This window comes from Homo sapiens, chromosome 2 (genome assembly GCF_000001405.40).
Source record: "Homo sapiens chromosome 2, GRCh38.p14 Primary Assembly".
NCBI lineage: Eukaryota > Metazoa > Chordata > Mammalia > Primates > Hominidae > Homo > Homo sapiens.
In genome coordinates this window covers 148,246,714-148,265,329 of record NC_000002.12, presented here as the reverse complement: position 1 = coordinate 148,265,329, position 18,616 = coordinate 148,246,714, and the positions used below count along the sequence as shown (strand labels likewise).

General features: G+C 41.2%; 1 protein-coding gene and 1 non-coding gene across 27 annotated transcripts in view, besides 1 other annotated feature; one reads left to right on the top strand and one right to left on the bottom strand.

Moving 5' to 3' along the window:
* MBD5 (methyl-CpG binding domain protein 5) overlaps positions 1-18,616 on the bottom strand; it is a 496,045-nt gene that overhangs the window by 251,642 nt on the left and 225,787 nt on the right. The window lies entirely within an intron of this gene.
* LOC124900532 (small nucleolar RNA SNORA48) lies at positions 4,622-4,756 on the top strand. Its single transcript, XR_007088725.1, has one exon. It is a non-coding gene; the product is annotated as a small nucleolar RNA SNORA48 (small nucleolar RNA).
* Positions 4,919-6,118: an enhancer, noted in NCBI's record as "BRD4-independent group 4 enhancer chr2:149016781-149017980 (GRCh37/hg19 assembly coordinates)". NCBI's record gives its function as "activates an origin of replication core promoter dependent on BRD2, P300/CBP, MED14 and CDK7 cofactors, and independent of BRD4, by STARR-seq in HCT116 cells {active_cell/tissue: HCT116}" and the evidence as "EXISTENCE:reporter gene assay evidence [ECO:0000049][PMID:35650434]".

Sequence of the window (18,616 nt, the reverse complement as noted above, 5' to 3'; positions counted from 1 at the left end):
CTATGTATTGAACAAAGCCTGGAAGAATATACACAAAAATGTTGCTGTTATTTTAATCAGGTACTGGAATTTTAAAAGTTTTTTATTTCTTTTCCTTTACTTGTGTTTTTCTTCCTTTAGACCATGAAACATTATGTTTTAGGTAGTAAAACATAAATTTAAAAAGAAAAGTATTTGAACACCATGCTGTTACAAATTTAATGAGAAATCTCTGGCATTGGGAAGCAATCATCGAATATGTGTGTTTGTGTGTGTGTGTGTGTGCGTGTGTCTACATGCACACATACGTGTAAATGACATCTGTTGATGGCTGCCCAGTGTCTGAACACATTCCTTATTTTGGGAAATCTCAAAAAGTCTGGGATAGTCCCTTTCCTAGTTATTTGATTATTGATCATCAGTCATGTGACCTTTGTTAACCAAACTAATGCTCCCACCCAGGACTTTGAATTTTGTGAGAGTGAGGCAGAGGTTACTCATGGAAGCTGCAGTCACACTGAAACAGCAAACTTCATTGAGTGTCCAAAGGCAGCAGAACCCAGTGGCATGTTAAAGGCTGTCCAGTGGAAACTGTATCAGCAGCAGACTTCAAAGCAGAATTTTCCTATGGTATGACATTGGCAAGGCTTTACATTTCTTCATTTCTACCAGTTTCTTAAGTCTAGTTCTCCAGCACCCCTATAGATTCTGCAGGCTCTATGATATTACCAAATATTCCTTTTCTGCTTTAGACAAAGCTGGCTTCTATTGTTTAAAACTAAGAATTCTGATTGGTACAATGCCTAGCAACTATCGTGAATCATACTGTTGCATTTCAGAAATTGCCATTATTTTTCTAGGCAGTTCAAAAGCATACTAGAAAGAGAATGCACTTTGAAGCCAGACTGATCAGGTTTGAATACCAGCTACTATAATTGCTAGTTGTGTGTGACCTTAGACAACAGACCTAACCTCTCTCAGTCTTAATTTCTTCATCTGTAAATTATTATTATTTCCTCTTCCTCTTCCTCTTCTTCTTCTTCTTCTTCTTCGACGAGGTCTCACGATGCTGCTCAGGCTGGTCTCAAACTCCTGGACTTAAGCGATTGTAGCACACAGGCCTCCCAAAGTGATGGGATTACAGGTATGAGCCATCCTACTGAGCCTGTAAACTATTTTTGATGATCCAACAATGTTAACATTTTGCATCTTTCATATTTATCTCAAATTCTTAAATTTCTTCTGGTATTTCATGGTCCACATCTACATGTGCACTTTGAGATGATGTATATATCTCCATTATCTTGAACACTACTTGTCAATACTATCAACTCTCTCTATCTCACTAGGTTATGAAACTCCTATAAATGAATGCAAATGTCTGCTTTCTCTAATACTATACATAGGTTGCTGGAGTACTGCTAGAGAAATTAGAAGTAACCCATATACAGCCAAGATGGCTTTTGGCCAGACTCATAAAACTATGTTCATATTAAAAACAAATAAAACAGGAGCCTATATGTAAAAAGCATTGAAAAATGAAAAACAACTTAAATCATTACTGAACTCTCATGAAGACACACTAATGTAGGATTTCATTGCTAATGCATAGTAAAAGATAATTAGATTCTTTTGTCTTCTCCCTTAATTGTGCAGCAGGGCAGCTGTCCCAGGATCTTATTTCACACACCCAAATCTTCCTCAAACTCTAACCTCCACCCAATATGACTTTTTCCTTCAATACATCCACTTTTCCGGTCTTTGAAGATTGATTGTATTCTCCCTAAAACTTCCTAATCTAAGTGATTCTAGCTTTATTGGCTTCTTTCAAGTTTCCTCCCTTCCCAATATATAAAACAGCACCAAAAGTTGACCCTTAATTTCAGCAGGAAACAGGGAAAAACTTATAAACTTTTAAGTATTAATAATCTGTTGTCTTCTCCCATGGCTTACAAAAAGTTTTCTCCTCTCTTCGTCTCCCTCCCTCTCTCTGCCTCCCAATGCACACACCACAACTGTGTACATTTGTGCCACGATATATTTTGATCTAAAAACTCCACTGTGTATTTAAACATGCTTAGCAATCCTACATTTCCCTGATTAGTCCTTTTCTCTATTTCTCAGCCCAGATATTTCTCCTGAGCTCAGTTCACAAATTCCACAGCCTTCTGTATATCTTCATATGAGCACCCTATGGTCATTTCAAATACAAAATTTATGGAGAATAAAAAACTCATCATCTTTTCCCCTAAATTGTCTCTTTCTTGTATTCTCCATCCAAATATCAACTTTTCACCTAGTCAATCAAACAACGCATGATTCCTGACCTTCTCCTTTGAATCACACTCAGTGTTCATGTATCAGAAAGTTGATTGTTCAATTTGCTAAATATCTCTTGCATATTTATTGCAATTAGCCTAGATCAGACTAACATCCATGCTTTCCTCTATTTGGTCTTCCCACCTCCAGATGAGTCCCACCTAAGGCTATTGCTTTTACTACAGTCAAAACAATCTATCTAAAATGCCAATGGCATTCTGTTACTTAACTGTATGGGTTCTCCAGTCTGACTGCTGAGTTTTCAATCAGGCTTAATGACCAACTGGGAGGAAGAGACAGTGTATGCCATAGTTGTTAAGCACATAGACACTACAGTCTATCTGCCTTGGTTCAAATCCCAGCATTGCCTTTTCATATACGACCTTGGTATATGACCTTGGACAAATTACTTAACCCCACAGGGCTCAATTTTTTTCCCTTCTTTCTATTTATTTATTTCCACAGGGCTCAGTTTTTTTATAAAACTGAAATGACAAAAGCATCTGTATTATAGGGTGGCTGTGAGGGTTACATGAATGAACATAAAGCTCTTGTAGAGTGAGAGCCATATAAATGTATGCTAATATTATATGGCCTTAAATAGAATGTATAGACTTTCTGTACTTCAGTCTCTTCCTCTTCTACAAATAGGAATAATACGTATGACATAATTTTTTTTTTTTACTTTAGATGATAAAAGAGATTCATGTTATATGTCATCCTCTGGTAAACATTCCTTGATCTCCCATTTCCCCAGTGCAGGAATAAATGTATAGGCACACCTTGTTTTTTTGCTCTTCACAGATATTGTGTTTTTTACAAATGGAAGGTTTGCGACAACCCTGCATTCAGCAAGTCTATGGGTGCCATTTTTTCCCACAGCATGTGCTCACTTCATGTCTCTGTGTCACATTTTGGTAATTCTTGCAATATTTCAAATTTTTTCATTATTATTGCATCTAATATAGTGATCCGTGATCAGTGACCTTGTAAGTTTCTACTGTAACTGTTTTGGGGTGCCACAACACATGTCCATATAAAAAGGCAAATTCAATCGATAAATGTTGTGTGTGTTCTGACTACCACAGAATCCGGCTGTTCCCCCATCTCTCTCCCTCTCCCCTAAGACACAACAATATTCAAATTAGGCCAAGATTACTTCAATGGCCTTTAAGTGTTCAGGTGAAAGAAAGAATCACATGTCTCAATTCAAATCAAAAGCTAGAAATAATTAAGCTTAGTAAGGAAGACATGTCAGGCTGACAGCTAGGCTTCTTCTGCTGAACAGGTAGCCAAGTTGTGAATGTAAAGGAAAAGTTATTGAAGCAAATTAAAAGTGCTACTTCAGTTAATACACAAATGATAAGAAAGCAAAACAGCCTTTTTGCTGTGAAATAGCGTTTTTGCTGATAAACAGTTTTAGTGGTCTTGGGAGAAGATCAAACCAGCCACATTTCCTTAAAATAAAGTCTAATTCAGAGCAAGGCCCTAACTCTCTTCAATTCTCTGAAGGCTGAGAGAGGTGAGGAAGCTGCAGAAGAAAAGTATGACCCTAGTAACGCAAGGTGGTTCATGAGGTTTAAGAAAAGAAGCCATCTCCACAAAAGTGCGAAGTGAAGCAGTAAGTTCTGATGGAGAAGCTGCAGCAAGTTATCTAGAAGATCTAGCTAAGATCATTGATGAACAAACAACAGATTTTCAGTGTAGTTGAAACAGCTATCTATCTATTAGAAGATGCCATTTAGGACTTTCACAGTTAGAGGAGAAGTCAATGTTCAACTTCAAAGCTTCAAAGGACCCACTGATTCTCTTGTTAGAGGCTAATGCAGTTGGTGATTTTAGGTTGAAGCCAATGGTCATTAACCATTCCAAAAATCCTAGGGCCCTTAAGAATTATGCTAAATCTACTCTGCCTGTGCTCTATAAATGGAATAACAAAGCCTAGAGGATAGCACATCTGTTTGCAGCATGATTTGCTGACTATTTTAAGCTCACCGTTGAGAGACCTACTGCTCAGAAAAAAATACTCCTTTCAAAATATTACTGCTCATTGACAGTGCACCTAGCCATCCAAGAGCTGTGATGGAGATGTACAAAGAGACGAATGTGTTTTCATGCTTGCCAAAACCATAGCTATTCTGTAGCCCACGGATCAAGTCTTTCAACTTGAAAATGCATCAATTTTAAAGTCTTTTTAATTAAGAAATACATTTTGTAAGGCTATACCTGCCATACACAGTGTTTCCTTGATGCATCTGGGCAAAGTAAATAGAAAACCTTCTGGAAAGGATTTACCATTCTAGATGCCATTAGGAATATTCATTATCTCTGACCTGGGTAGAGCAGCATCTGGTTGGTGGTGCCCATCTCATATCAGCCAGAGATACAGCAATTCCTTGTTTATCCCAGCTTGGCTTTTAGTCTGTGCCCATGCCTGGTTCACGTGTGAAAAATATGGGGGCAGGAGGGAAGAATATTCTTGATTCATGGGAAGAGGTCAAAATATCAACATTAACAAGAATTTGGAAGAAGTGAATTCCAACCCTCATGGATGACTTTAATGAGTTCAAAACTTCAGTGGAGGAAGTATCACAGATGTTGTGGAACGAGCAAGAGATCTCTAATTAGAAGTGGAGACTGCAGATGTGACTGAATTGCTGCAATGTCATGATAAAACTTGAACGGATGAGCAGTTGCTTCTTATGGCTAACAAAGTAAGTGGCTTCTGGAGGAGGAATCTACTCTTGGTGAAGATGCTGTGAACATTGTTGAAATGACAACAAAAGATTTAGAGTATTACAGAAACTTAGTAGATAAAGCAGCAGCAGGGTTTGAGAGAATTGATTCAAATTTTGAAAGTAGTTCTACTGTGGCTAAAATTCTATCAAACTGCATTTTATGCTAGAGAAATCTTACATGAAGGGAAGAGTCGACCAATGTGGCAAACTTCATTGTCTTATTTTAAAGAACTGCCACAGACAACCCAACATTCAGCAATCATTACCCTGACCAGTCAGCAGATGTCGACATTGAGGCTAAACCCCTCGCTAATAAGAAGATTATTATTTGCTGAAGGCTCAGGTGATCATTAGCTTTTTTGTTGTTGTTGTTAGTAATAAACTATTTTTAAATCAAGGTATTTACATAGCTGTGAGGGAAATGGCTGCGCTTCAGTCAGGAGCAGGCTGAGGTGGCCTTCTGGTGCAGCATGACTCAGCGGGTTTGTGGTGCAGGTGCACAGCTCTGCACATTATGCAACCACACCACGTGAGGAGCATTAGATGATGACCTATGTGAGCTCATGCTTGGCTCAAAGCCACTATTGTCTGTAAAAGGTATAATTACCCCGGTAATGCTGCACATATGGCTCACTTGCACCCAGAGAGAGAGTAAAGCCATGTCAAAACTGTCTACAATTCCTCGAGTGTTTTTCCTGCTACCTGCCACTCACCCACCAACTCCCCTTGGACCTCAGTTAGAACCTGAGAATTGGCATATCAAATAGGATCCTGAGGTAAGTGAACCTTTGGTCCCCACTGATTCTGGGTCGGCCATGTATCCACAACATGGGTTGTGATACACGGTGGCAGCTGTGCTGCTTGGATGGGCTCTGAGGGAAACATGGGCAGAGGTAGATGGGTCCCCAGCAAGCATGGAGAATATGCTGAAGCAGCTGGAAGCACAGAGCACTGAGAATGAACGAGTCTTTGCTTGCAGAGTTGGATGGGCATTTTTGACTGCACTAGAAGAACTACACTTCCAGTCTCTGAGGGATGCAGCACGTTGGTTGCAGGTGAGCGGGCAGTTGGCACAAGGGCAAGGTGACCACACCCTGATTGAGTGGCTATGGGCAGCCATACGGACTATGTGGGACGACACTGGTGAAATACCTGAAACTGTGAGTAAATGACAGTCATATGGTGATTTGGGGCAAGTCATCCGGGAGATGGGTATGCAGCAGGCTATGTTTGACCTGAATACTCAGAGGCCAGATGATGAACATTTCACTCCCACATGAGGAGTCTCGTGTTGGGTTCTGCACCCCTGAGTGCCTTTGACTCCCTAGCTGCTGTCCCCACCCTGTATGTAGGGTGACACATACATGAAGTGACCACTGCTATGGCGGCTCTCAGGGAAGCAGAAGGCCACTGGCAGGACCAAGGGGTCTGCGCCTTAAAGAAGGGGAAGATGCCCCACCCACAGGGGGGCCCCCATGGGAGAAAAGGGGGCCTCAACAAGTGACACGCTCATGGATATGGATAGATTTGATTTTGGCTGGGGTTGACCAAGAGAAAATCAATAAGCAGCCCAATGAAGTACTCTTAGCTTTGTGGAGACAGTTGTCTCTGGAGCAGCAATTCCAGAAAATGCCCAAGGGGGAGAAATACACTGCTGCGCCACCCGGTCCCACCCGGGTGCTTTACCTCAAAGACTACTTGCTGTAGCCAGGAGGACATGTAGAGCTGTTTCTGTTTCATTAGGGAACTTGCCGGGATGCCCAGTTTGGGGGGACACTGGACGATTGGAGGCCACGTGTGGAATTAGCGATCCACTGGTCCCCCACCAATGTACGGTGGGTGCAGGTGCTGGCACTGGTGGATACCGGTGCAGATTGCAGCCTTCTTTATGGGAACCTGAATAAGTTTCTGGGCAAACCTGCTTACATTGAGGGTTATGAAAGCGAGTCAGTGAAAGTGAAACCTGTATCTCTGTACCTTGGCATCCGTTGTTTGACTCCCCGTTTATATACTGTGTGTGTTTCTCCCATACCTGAATACATTCTGGGGGTGGACATTTTACATGGCTTGGCATTACAAACTACAGCCAGGGAATTCAGACTCCGAGTGCATGTGGTGTAGCTGGTGCTGCACGGACATACACATCACCAGCCTCAGGATCTGCCACAACCCTGACTGGTTACTTCCACCCATCAATACTGCTTGCCAGATGGACATACAGAGATAACTGAGACAAAAAGCTGGAAGAGGTGCAGATAGTGCGTGGCACCCATAGCCCCTACAGTTCTCCAGTGTGGCCAGTTAGAAAGCCTGATAGAAACTGGTGGATGATGGTGGACTATTGGGAACTGAAAAAAGTAACACCCTCTTTGCATGAAGCTGTATCATCAAACGTGGATTTGATGGACTGTTTGATGATGGAAGTGGGACAGTACCACTACGTAGTGGACTTAGACAATGCATTTTTCTCCATCGATATCACTCCAGAGAGCCAGGAACAGTTCGCCTTCACATGGGACAGGCAACAATGAACTTTTACAGTGTTGCTGCAGGGCTATATGCATAGTCCCACCATATGTCATGGTCTAGTTGCCACGGATTTAGCTGCCTGGCCAATGCCAGAATGGGTCCACCTATTCCATTATATTGATGATATGTTAACCTCTGATTCTCTTGCAGATTTAGAAGTGGTGGCATCCCTCTTGTGGCGACATTTGGCAGCATGCAGTTGGGCCGTCAACAAATCTAAGGTCCAAGGGCCTGCTTCATTTGTCAAATTCTTGGGAGTTATCTGGTCGGGTAAGACAAAGGCCATCCCAGAGGCTATCGTTGATGAGATTCAGGCATATCTCCAGCCCACCACAACGAAGCAGCTGCAAATTTTTGTGGGCCTCCTGGGATATTGGTGGGCATTTATGCCCCATTTAGCTCAAATGATAAAACCGTTCCATTGATTAACAAAGCAGGGAGCTACCTGGGATTGGAATGATGCAGCTGAGACTGCCTTCCTGGCAGCCAAGCGGGCTATTCAGCAGGCATAAGCCCTATGGGTAGTGGACCAGGGGCGCCTATTTGAGCTGGATGTGCATGTGACCACAGATGAACACAGATGGTTTTGTTTGGGGCCTGTGGCAGTGCACAGAGCACTTGAGAACACCGGTAGGCTTTTGGTCCCAACTATGGAAGGGAGCTGAGTTCTGTTATTCCTTGATAGAGAAACAGCTAGCAGCTATATATGCCACCCTTCAGGCTTGTGAGAGTGTGACAGGGCAGGGTGCAGTCATCGTGTGGATGACTTAGCCTATAGCAGGATGGGTGCATTCATGGGTAACGACCCCCTGAACTGGGATGGCACAGACATCCACTTTGGCAAAGTGGAGTGCCTACTTGGAGCAGTGGAGTAAGCTGAGTACAAGTACCATAGCAGCAGAGCTGCAAAAGGTCTTGGGACCTATAGTCCTAATGCAAGATAAGGTCATGGGGCCTAAGGCCATGGGGCCTGAGGCACCCCTAGACCCTGAGCCTTCAGCATTTAAGGGAGGGTGTCCCCCCATTCTCGATAGGCCATGGTACACAGATGGGTCTAGCCGAGGTGCTATAACTGCTTGGACCGCTGTTGCAGTCCAACCTAGTACTGACACCATATGGTTTGAAACCCGGTGTGGACAAAGTAGCCAATGGGCTGAACTTAGAGCAGTGTGGATGGTGATCACCAAGGAGGTGACACTGATGGTAATCTGTATCAATAGCTGGGTGGTCTACCAAGGCTTAACTTTGTGGTTAACTACCTGGAAAATACAGAAGTTGCTAGTCGGCCACCAACCCATTTGGGGTCAAGCCACGTGGCAAGACCTCTGGGAAATGGGTCATCAGAAACAGGTAACCGTTTATCATGTGTCAGGCCATATGCCTTTGGCCACCCCCGGCAATGATGAGGCAGATGCCTTGGCCAAGGTCCAATGGTTAGAGTCGGCACCTACATGAGATGTGGCCTTGTGGCTACACTGGAAATTGGGACATGCAGGGGGTAAACTGATACAACAGGTCAATACGCATTGGGGTCTGTCCCTGCCCACGCAAGACATTTGGGAGGCTTTTCAGAAATGCCTGGCATGTGCTCAGGCATGCCCTAAATGAGGCAGCTGTCCAATGTTACGCAACAAGTAACAACAGGGTGAGTGCCCTTGACCAGGTGGCAAATAGACTACATCGGGCCGCTGCCAAAGTCACAAGGGTATACGCATGTGCTAACAGATGTGGACACGGCCACAGGCCTGTTGTTCACCTACACTTGTAGGGTGGCTGACCAACAGAACACCATCCAGGCCCTGAAATACTTATGTCCCCTGTATGGTCACCCTCTGGCCGTTGAGACTGAGAGGAGAACACATTTCACTGGATGACACCTACAACACTTGGCATAACAAATGGACATAAAGTGGAGATTCCGTGTGCCATACAACCTGCAAGCTGCAGGTATGATTGGGCAATATAATGGGCTCTTGAAGAATGGGTTATACTTGCATGTCACACTCCTGTCTTTGTGGGGCTGGAGTTCCAGGCTGGACCTGGTGCTCTAAACCTCGAATGAATGGCCACGGAAAGGCAGCCTGGCCCTGGTGGAGGCTTTCTTACAACAGGCTGCCACCCCCATTCAGTTGTAGATACACACTAAGGATGACCTCCTCCAACCAGGTATGGCGATGAATGGTAACCTGTTGTTACCTGACCTAGTGCACCTGAAGGCAGGGGAATAGAAAACCTGGTTGTGGCCATGGACCCTCCAAGCACCCCATTGCCAGTGGTTGGTCATTGTAGCTCCCTGGGGGAAAGGCCTACAGTATGACTTGCATGTTACTCCTTGGGTGTTCAATACACGGCCCCCATGGTTGACTGCTCATAGGGGAATGGCCAGGGAAAGAGCCCTCCTCTGGGGGACACATGTACTGTCCGTGTGGCCTATTATGAGCTCCCCTCTGACTTTGGCACAGATACAGCACCCAAAGGAACCACGGGGAGCTGAGAAGGTGTGGTACGACTGCCCAGGGCAGAAGCCCTTGGCAGCTGCATTGTTATCCCGGGACAAAAAGTTAGCTTCTATGTTGCCTGAGGGACATGATCTACCTTTGTTAGTACTTGTGCCTGCTCTGTCGTTTTGACCGTAGGTTAACATGCTCCAACTGCATTGTGGACTGGGCCCACACCTATGCTGAGATGACCAATGTTTCCAGCTGTTGGTTCTGTACCACCCTTCCAGCAGCAGCTGTGCCTTGGCACATGCATTCAGCATCTGCAGAGAACTGGACATGGCTGGAGACTTGGGGTTCCATAACAATGCCTGGAACATGATGCAGCAAGCTTTGGACAAAGGACACTGCAAGACCCACAGCACGCCTGCCCCCTGGCTGGCCCATAGTGTTTATGATGGGTGGGGCTGGCTCGTGGGGGAACATGTAGTACCCCCAGCCCAAGCACCGCAGTGCATAGAGCAACACTGTGGTAACACCACTGTGTGGGATGGATACCCATCGCAGCCTGTGTAAACATAACACATGTCATCACACTGAACATATGGTGGAACAAGCAGTCCCACCAAGGTTGGTCCCTGATGGATTTTGTGCCCCCTTAGGAGTTTATGGGTCTGTGAGGACACAGGGTGGCCTTACCTACCAGCAGACGTTGTACCTGGGGGTGACCTTATGTACCTGCCACTGTTCTCCTCATGTTGCCCAGATGCCTGCATAAATGGGAGGTGCTATGCTCTCAGCTTCTGCGATTGTGATGAGCCCCCTGGTGGTTCTACCCCTTGACAATGACTATCCCTGGAGCAGGTGTCATAACTGTAGAAGTACAAGTTACTGTTCTTGCACAGCACACCACTCAGGTTCTGAATTCCACCTGAGTGGCACTCCTCCTGTTAACGGATGAGGTTGATTAGATCAGAAAGGTGGTGTTGCAAAACTAAATGGCCTTAAACATAGTAACTGCTGCCTAAGGAGGCACCTGTGCCCTTTTAGGAACACAATGTTTTACCTTTATCCCTAACAATCAGCAGAACATAATAGCAGCCCTGCGAGTGGGTCATGGGAGATTAAGGCAGTCAAGAGCCTTGCTGATGAACCCCTGCAGAGAGGGTGGGCATCCCTAGGCTCTGGCCTATGCTGGGCCCTAATAGTCATGAGTGGCATAGCTGGGATCCTAGTAGTGAGCTGTTCCTCTCTGTATTGTTGTTGTGAGTTATGGATTCAGGACTCTGCCCTATGGGTATGTGTTCCTGCCCAGAGGGTGCCCCTGGCCTAGAGCGTGGAAAGTAAGGGAAATGGCTGTGCTTTAGTCAGGAGTAGGCTGGGGTAGACTTCCAGCGCAGCATGACTCAGCAGGTTTGGAGTGCAGGTGCACAACCCCGCACATTTATGTAACCATGTCACGTGAGTCACATTAGGTGATCAACCACATGAGCTCGTGCTTGGCTTGGAGCCACTATTGTCTGTAAAAGGTATAATTACCCTGCTAATGCTCTACATATGGCTTGCTCATGCCCAGAGAGAGAGTAAAGCCATGTTGAAACTGTCTACAATTCCTTGAGTGTTTTTCCAGCTACCCGCCACTCACCCACTGACTCCCCTCGGACCTCAGTTAGAACCTGACAATAGCTTTTAAAGATATAATGAGATTGCATACTTAATAGACTACAGTATAGAATAAAGATAACTTTTATATGCATTGGGAAAACAAAACAAATCCTATGGTTCACTTTATTGCAACATTTGCTTCACTGGGGTGGTCTGAAACCGAACCTGCAGTATCTCTGAGGTATGCCTGTATATGCCCTCACAGCAACCAATATGTACTACATATTATAGCATTTGTCATATATAGTTACAACTGACTGCTTCTCTGTCTCCATTATCATACTTGATGTCCCTGGATTGTAAGAGCTATATATTTCCCCAGCAGTTTTCCTATTGTACATTACAGTGAAATTTTACTGTACAAATAAATGAATAACTACATATAAAGGTCTTTTTTCAATGCCTAGGAAAGAGTAGGGGGTCAATATATTTCAATTCTTTATCAATTTTCTCAGTCTGTAGTGAAGATGATGGTGTTACAATCTCCTAGTAGAGTTCCCTCTGCTTTTTATTTTGACCTTTTGCATGAAGTACCAGGCCATTAGGTGAATCTTTTTTACTTAGATCTAAGCCAATTTTTACTGCTGAGTTTCAGAACCCAAACCCCAATAATCTCCTCATAATAGGAGATTAAGTCCCGATTTCCATTTCTGGGCCTTCTTTTAAAAAGTGAACACTAGAGAAAAACGTCCATAACAATAGTTCAAGACACATTCTTCAGACACCACAATGCCATGATGATGTGGGTAAATGAGATTCTTCCAATAAACATGCTCATGGCTAGATATTTGTTAAATTTAAAATATTTTCCAGGCTGGGTGCAGTGGCTCATTGTTGCAATCTCAGCACTTTGGGAGGCTGAGGCAGGCAAATTGCTTGAGCTCAGGAGTCTGAGACTAGCCTGGCTAACATGGTGAGACCCTGTCTCTACAAAAAATACAAAAATTAGCTGGGCATCATGGTGCATGCCTGCAGTCCCAGCTATGTGGGAGGCAGAGGTAGGAAGATTACCTGAGCCTGGGAGGTCGAGGCTGCAGTGAGCCATGATTGCACCATTGCACTCCAGCCTGGGAGACAGATCCACTTAAAGATCCACTAACTTGCAGAGGTTTTCCATAAAGATACATGATATCTGGTATTTCACACCTATTCATAACTAGAATATGAGTCTGTATCTTTCAGTGTTTCTTTTTTTCCTTTTGAGACAGGATCTCACTCTTTTACCCAGGCTGGAGTGCAGTGGCATGATCTGGGTTCGCTGCAACCTTAACTTCTCCAGGATCAGGTGATCCTCGCATTTCAGTCTCCCCAGTAGCTGGGACTACAGGTGCACACCACCATGCCTGGCTATTTTTTTTGTATTTTGTAGAGAGGGTGTCTAGCTATGTTCAGGCTGGCCTTGAACTCCTGGGCTCAAGCAATCAGCCTACCTCACCCACCCAAAGTGCTGGGATTACAGGCGTGAGTCACCGTGACCAGACAGTGTTTCTTAATGAGGACACTTCAGATACTCTGGACAGCAAAAGCCTTTGTTCTATGGAACTATCCCCTGATCCACTGAAAATGTTATATTCCTGGACGCTCTTGATAGCTCTCTCTCTCCAATCACTGTGGCAGCCAACAATGCCTCTACACATTTCCAAACTGTCTCTGGCAGGAGTGAGGTGCGGGAAAACAAAATTTACCACACTTGGCTGAGAATCATTTTGAGTTGGATTATTCATGTAACTTCTAAAATGTACTCATTTATCTAATACAATTATTATTTTGCGCTGATATCTCACTCGTGATAGCAAGGCAGGGAAATTGCAAAGATTACTTCTTTCCCTCTCAAAATGACCTGTCTTTTTGGGCATACAGCAGTCAAATGTTAGAAAAGTCAACAATTGCATTAATTGTTGACCATAGGTACATTTGCTAAATGTTATCTTTTAAACATTTTTACACATACTAACATTTAACTAAATACGCAGAATTTGGAACACCTTAAAATATGAAGGAATGACTCTGAAAAATAACAACTCTTCAAGAATTATGACCAAGAGGTATTTTCAATTGAATAGGAATTACGTAAAATGTATACTATGAATAAATTTATGTTAGCCATTCTACTTTGGCTTATGAGGTACAAGTTACTGAGAACTTTATTTTTAATATCATAAATGGGTATTAAATACTTTCAAATGCTTTTTTCTCATTGTAAAACAAAATTATGAAAATGAAGACCAATCATGTTGTATTTTGATGATAAGAATGATGAGTCACAGGTAAGCCCATAATGCATGGAAATTCTTGGCTTTCTTATTATGACATTTAACTTCACTGCAACTGGAAAAAAATCAGTGAAATAAACGATTCAAATACATCAAGTAACAAGGGCTTCTGAAGTACAGTATTTCTCGAGTCGAATGGAAATGTTAACTAAGTCCTTATTTAGACTGAAAAATCTAGCCCTTTTTGTTATAAAATAATTGCTCTGGCAGACTTCTTGCACTGTTCTGAAGAGGTCAGGCACTCCTGCCTTTTGCACCCTTTTGCCCGACACCCTTTTTTATTTTAAAAGAATATTTATTAAGCGTTTTTTAGTACCTATAGCACTATACTAGGCACTCTGAATTGTGTCAGGGTAAAAAATAAAAAAAGCAAAAAACAAAAACCACATTAAAAAACCCCACTATTTTAAAAATAATTTATTTTCCAGATAGCAAAAGCTTTAAAAAGAACTAGATGAAACAGGCATGCATGCTGCAAGTGATGAAGTGGCAAAATAGGGCAGCAGAAAGAACACTAAACTTGAGTTAGAAAACTTGGGATCAGGCTCCTCCGAGTGACATTGGGCAAGGCATTTACATCTACTTTTCTTTTAAGTCCCAGCTTTCTTTTCTGTGAAATAAGAATAATAACATTTCTCTTAGAGTTGTTCTGAGAATTAACAAGCTAGCTCTCTGAATGCACCACCATAGTATAATGACTAGCACATAAAACTAGCCACTCATTAAATGTTACTTTTCCATGAAGTCCGGAAATGAAAAACAAGGTAAGATTACTATCTGGTGAAGTTTTTCATCACGTTATGTTAATTGGTCTAAATTTCATAATCTCTATGGAGAAAAAGCCCTGATCTTCAAAAGCAGAAAAGCCCTAGTTGTCTTCAATTAAACCTGTTTCTGCCAATCCATTACCCACTTTCAGTACTATTCTGTGGGGCCCAGCAAAGAAGAAGGTTCAGGGGTCCATGTGCAGGTTTGTTACACAGGTAAACTTGTGTCACAGGGATTGGTTGTACAGATTATTGCTGTCACCCAGTAGTTATTTTTTCTGATCCTCTCCCTCCTTCCAACCTCCACCCTCAAGTAGGCCCCAGTGTATGTTGTTTCCCTCTTTGTGTCCATGAGTTCTCATCATTTAGTGCCCACTTATAAGTGACAACATGTGGTATTTGGTTTTCTGTTCCTGCATTAGTTTGCTAAGGATAATGGCCTCCAGCTCCATCCATGTTCCAACAAAAGACATGATCTTGCTTGAAAAAGTTGTATCTTATGGCTATATATTAATTGTAGTAGCCAAATGAGAACATATTCTTTATTGTATTAGGAAGATGAGTGGGTCTACGAGGGTAGTTATGAGAGGTAGAGCCAAAAACAGAAGACAAGCATAATAAGAAAGTAGCGGAAAAAAAGTTAAAAGCTGAGTTTCCAACTGCGGCGCTATTTACATTTTATATAATACTTTGCTGTGGAGGGTTATCCTGTGCACTGTCGGATGTGAAGCAGCATCCCTGGCCTGCAGTCAAACCCCACCAGTAATGGCAATTGAGAATGTCTCCAGATATTGTCAAATGTTCCTTTAGGAGGCAAAATTCCCCTGGATGAGAACCACTGATTTAGATAGTAATAGAAGGCAGGAGGAAAAAGAGTGAGGTAAGTAATAATACTGCCCACAAAATTCACAATTAAAAAGAAGCACAATTTTAAAAGACTTATCAACACAAAAATGATATATATTTATATAAGTCATGTCAGGGGAAAACTATCAGTGGTAATTCTCCAGTATATAGTACAGTATCTACATGATACTATACAAGAAGAGTGAATGCAATGTAATGAACTGTGTCAAAAGTCAGAAGCTGAGAGAAGGGAATAATAAAATTGTGTGGGGGTAGAGAAAAAGATATGAAAGTGAGTAAGCTCAGGAGTAACTTTTTCAGTATGCTGATTTAAATTTTCCTTTTAATTATTTTACTTATTGTTTTTTCCAAAACAATAACTGAAGAACTCATGGCAGTGGATTTTGCCCCTTTTATGGGTAGGCAGGTGGTCAAACAGGTTGAGATGATCAGAAACAAAGGGTTATTGGAAAGCAAAGTCAGATTAAGACACAAAAAGTCTTTGCCAAATTTCCAATTTTGTCTTTTTTATACTAACTTGTAATAATTCTTTTTCAATTAGATATATTGTGAATGTCTTCACTAATTTGCAACTTGTCTTTTCATTCTTATTAAGGTGACTCTTGATGAAAAGAATATCACAATTGTAATTCAATAAAATTTAACAATATTTTCCTTAATGGGCTTTTTCATTTTCTCTCTACTCGAAAGATGTTCTCCTAAAATTTGTATAGTTTTGCTTTTCATATTTAAGTCTCTATTCCACTTAGAGTTGATATTTACATATGATATAAAGTAGGGGGTCAAATTTCATTTTCCTCTTAACGGATAATCAATGATCCCAGTATACTTATTGAAAAGTCAACCCTTATCCTAATTTTATATACCTCTTTTTTATATACCTAATTTTATATCCTCTTTTATATACCAACTTACCACCTATAGATAGATGTTTCTAAGCAATCTATTTTGTTCCACTGGTCAGTCTGTCTATCTTTTACCAGTATCACACTCTACTAATCACTAAAGCGTTATATTAACCTTCATATCTTATAAGTCTCCCTACTTTATTCTTCTTCCTCAGGAATGTCATATCATTATCTTTAATCTCATATTTCTTTATTAAACAGACATTTTATATTCTCCCTGATAATTTTTAATATATAAAATATTTATGAGTCTGCTTCTTTGGAATATAGTTTCTGACACTCATTCATGATGCCTTGGTTTTTAATTTTTGACAGTAAATTCATATTTTGGGGGAATTTTACCTGTGGAAATTTTTGGGGTCCTATATTGAAGGTAGATTTCTTCAATGAGAATTTATGTTTGCTTCTGCCAGCTACGTGGGACTACCTTAAGTTCTTGGCTTTAATTTTTGTTTTTTGTTCTGTTTTGTTTTTTGGTATCACTTATGTAGTGTGAACTTCAGTAGCAAACCCACAATACCAGCTTGATATTCAAATGATCAAAGAGATATTTCATTCCTATGCTCAATGTCAAGGTTTAAATTAACCAATTTTCCTTGCAGTGTCATGGGAAGTGATAGCTGATTTTACTAGGTACCCTTCCAATAAAGATGTAGATATTTGGACGTCCGTACTGACGGGACCTTAAGTATAGACTCTCCATCTTGGATGAGTCCACGATTTTGACAGTCTCTTGTTACTCTTTCAATAGGAGGCCATGAAAACAAAATTGTAACCCAGAATTTACCAGCTTCAGCAAGTATCCTTAAGGCTTACCTCTCTGAACACTACTTTTATGTAGGGTTTGTGTTTGTTTGTTTTAGCCTCTTAGTATTTGCCATCTTTCCAGTTCATAGCTGCATATAAACACTATTTTTATATTTCACATTGTTTTTAGTTGTTTATCATGAGATGTCAGGGTACCTAACTTCACCATACTACCAAGACATAAAGTTTAAATTTTATTTTTTTCCCCTCAGCTTTATCCTTTACATTATTTCTTTTAGAATATCTTTAATCCTTTTTCTTTCTGGTTTCAAAAATAAACAAATACTCATTTTGAAAAAAATTCAAATGGTATGGAAGTATAAAAGTGAACAGTTGTAGCCCCCATCCCACCCTCCACATAACCCCAAGGAAAAGACTGTTAATTGTTGGCTCTTATATAATATTTATAATTTTATAAATTGTTAGGCTCAGTGGACTTACCACTGTATACCACCACTCAATACGCTGTACAAGCTTAAATTTAGAATGTCCCTAGGTAGCTGTTATGTTTGTTAAAGGAACTCAATATCTGAACTGGCTTTGGGCTACTATCTTCTCTGGTTATGTGCTGAAAACCCATGGTAACTTATTTAAAGGATGGCCTGATTAAAATATTCCTCCTACCATAAAGGTTATTTGATGTGAAAAAAAGATTGCCAATGTTTGTTTTAAAGCTTGTGTATTTTATTCAAAATGGCTCAAATGTAGTTTTTGGTAAACTTTTGGAAACAAGGACAGAGGCTCTTTAAGAACTAAAATTAATTTCTGACACAGATAAGTCATACAGTCTGCAAGAAAATCTGCTGCAAAATTTATTCAAGAAACAAACTGAATAAAAAGTAATATTTATACCAACCATGGTTTCAAGAAACAGTGATAGAGACAGGAAAAGAATTAGGTGGAAGACATTTTTTTCTATATTCTAAAAAGCTGATGACAGAATGAGAGAAAAACTCTAGACAATTTAAAAAAAGCTTTACAGGAAAGGAAATGTAATTATAACTATTTGGTGTTGCAGAGAATAATATTTATATAACATCAATAAGGTAAACATTTGTCTTTGGTTTAACTAACTATATTTCAAGGATGGGATAACAAAGAGGTATTAGGTGGTAAAAGTATGCTAAGTCATCATCCGTGATAATAGACAAATGATCTATAACTTCTTTCTATAATGTCTCATATTGGTAAACCTAGAGATAGCAGTTTTAAAAAAACATTTAGAAACAGGTACCTGAACAGTAGCAAACAATTTTTTTTTTTTTTTTTTTTTTTTGAGATGGAGTCTCACTCTGTCACCCAGGCTGGAGTGCAGTGGCGCAATTT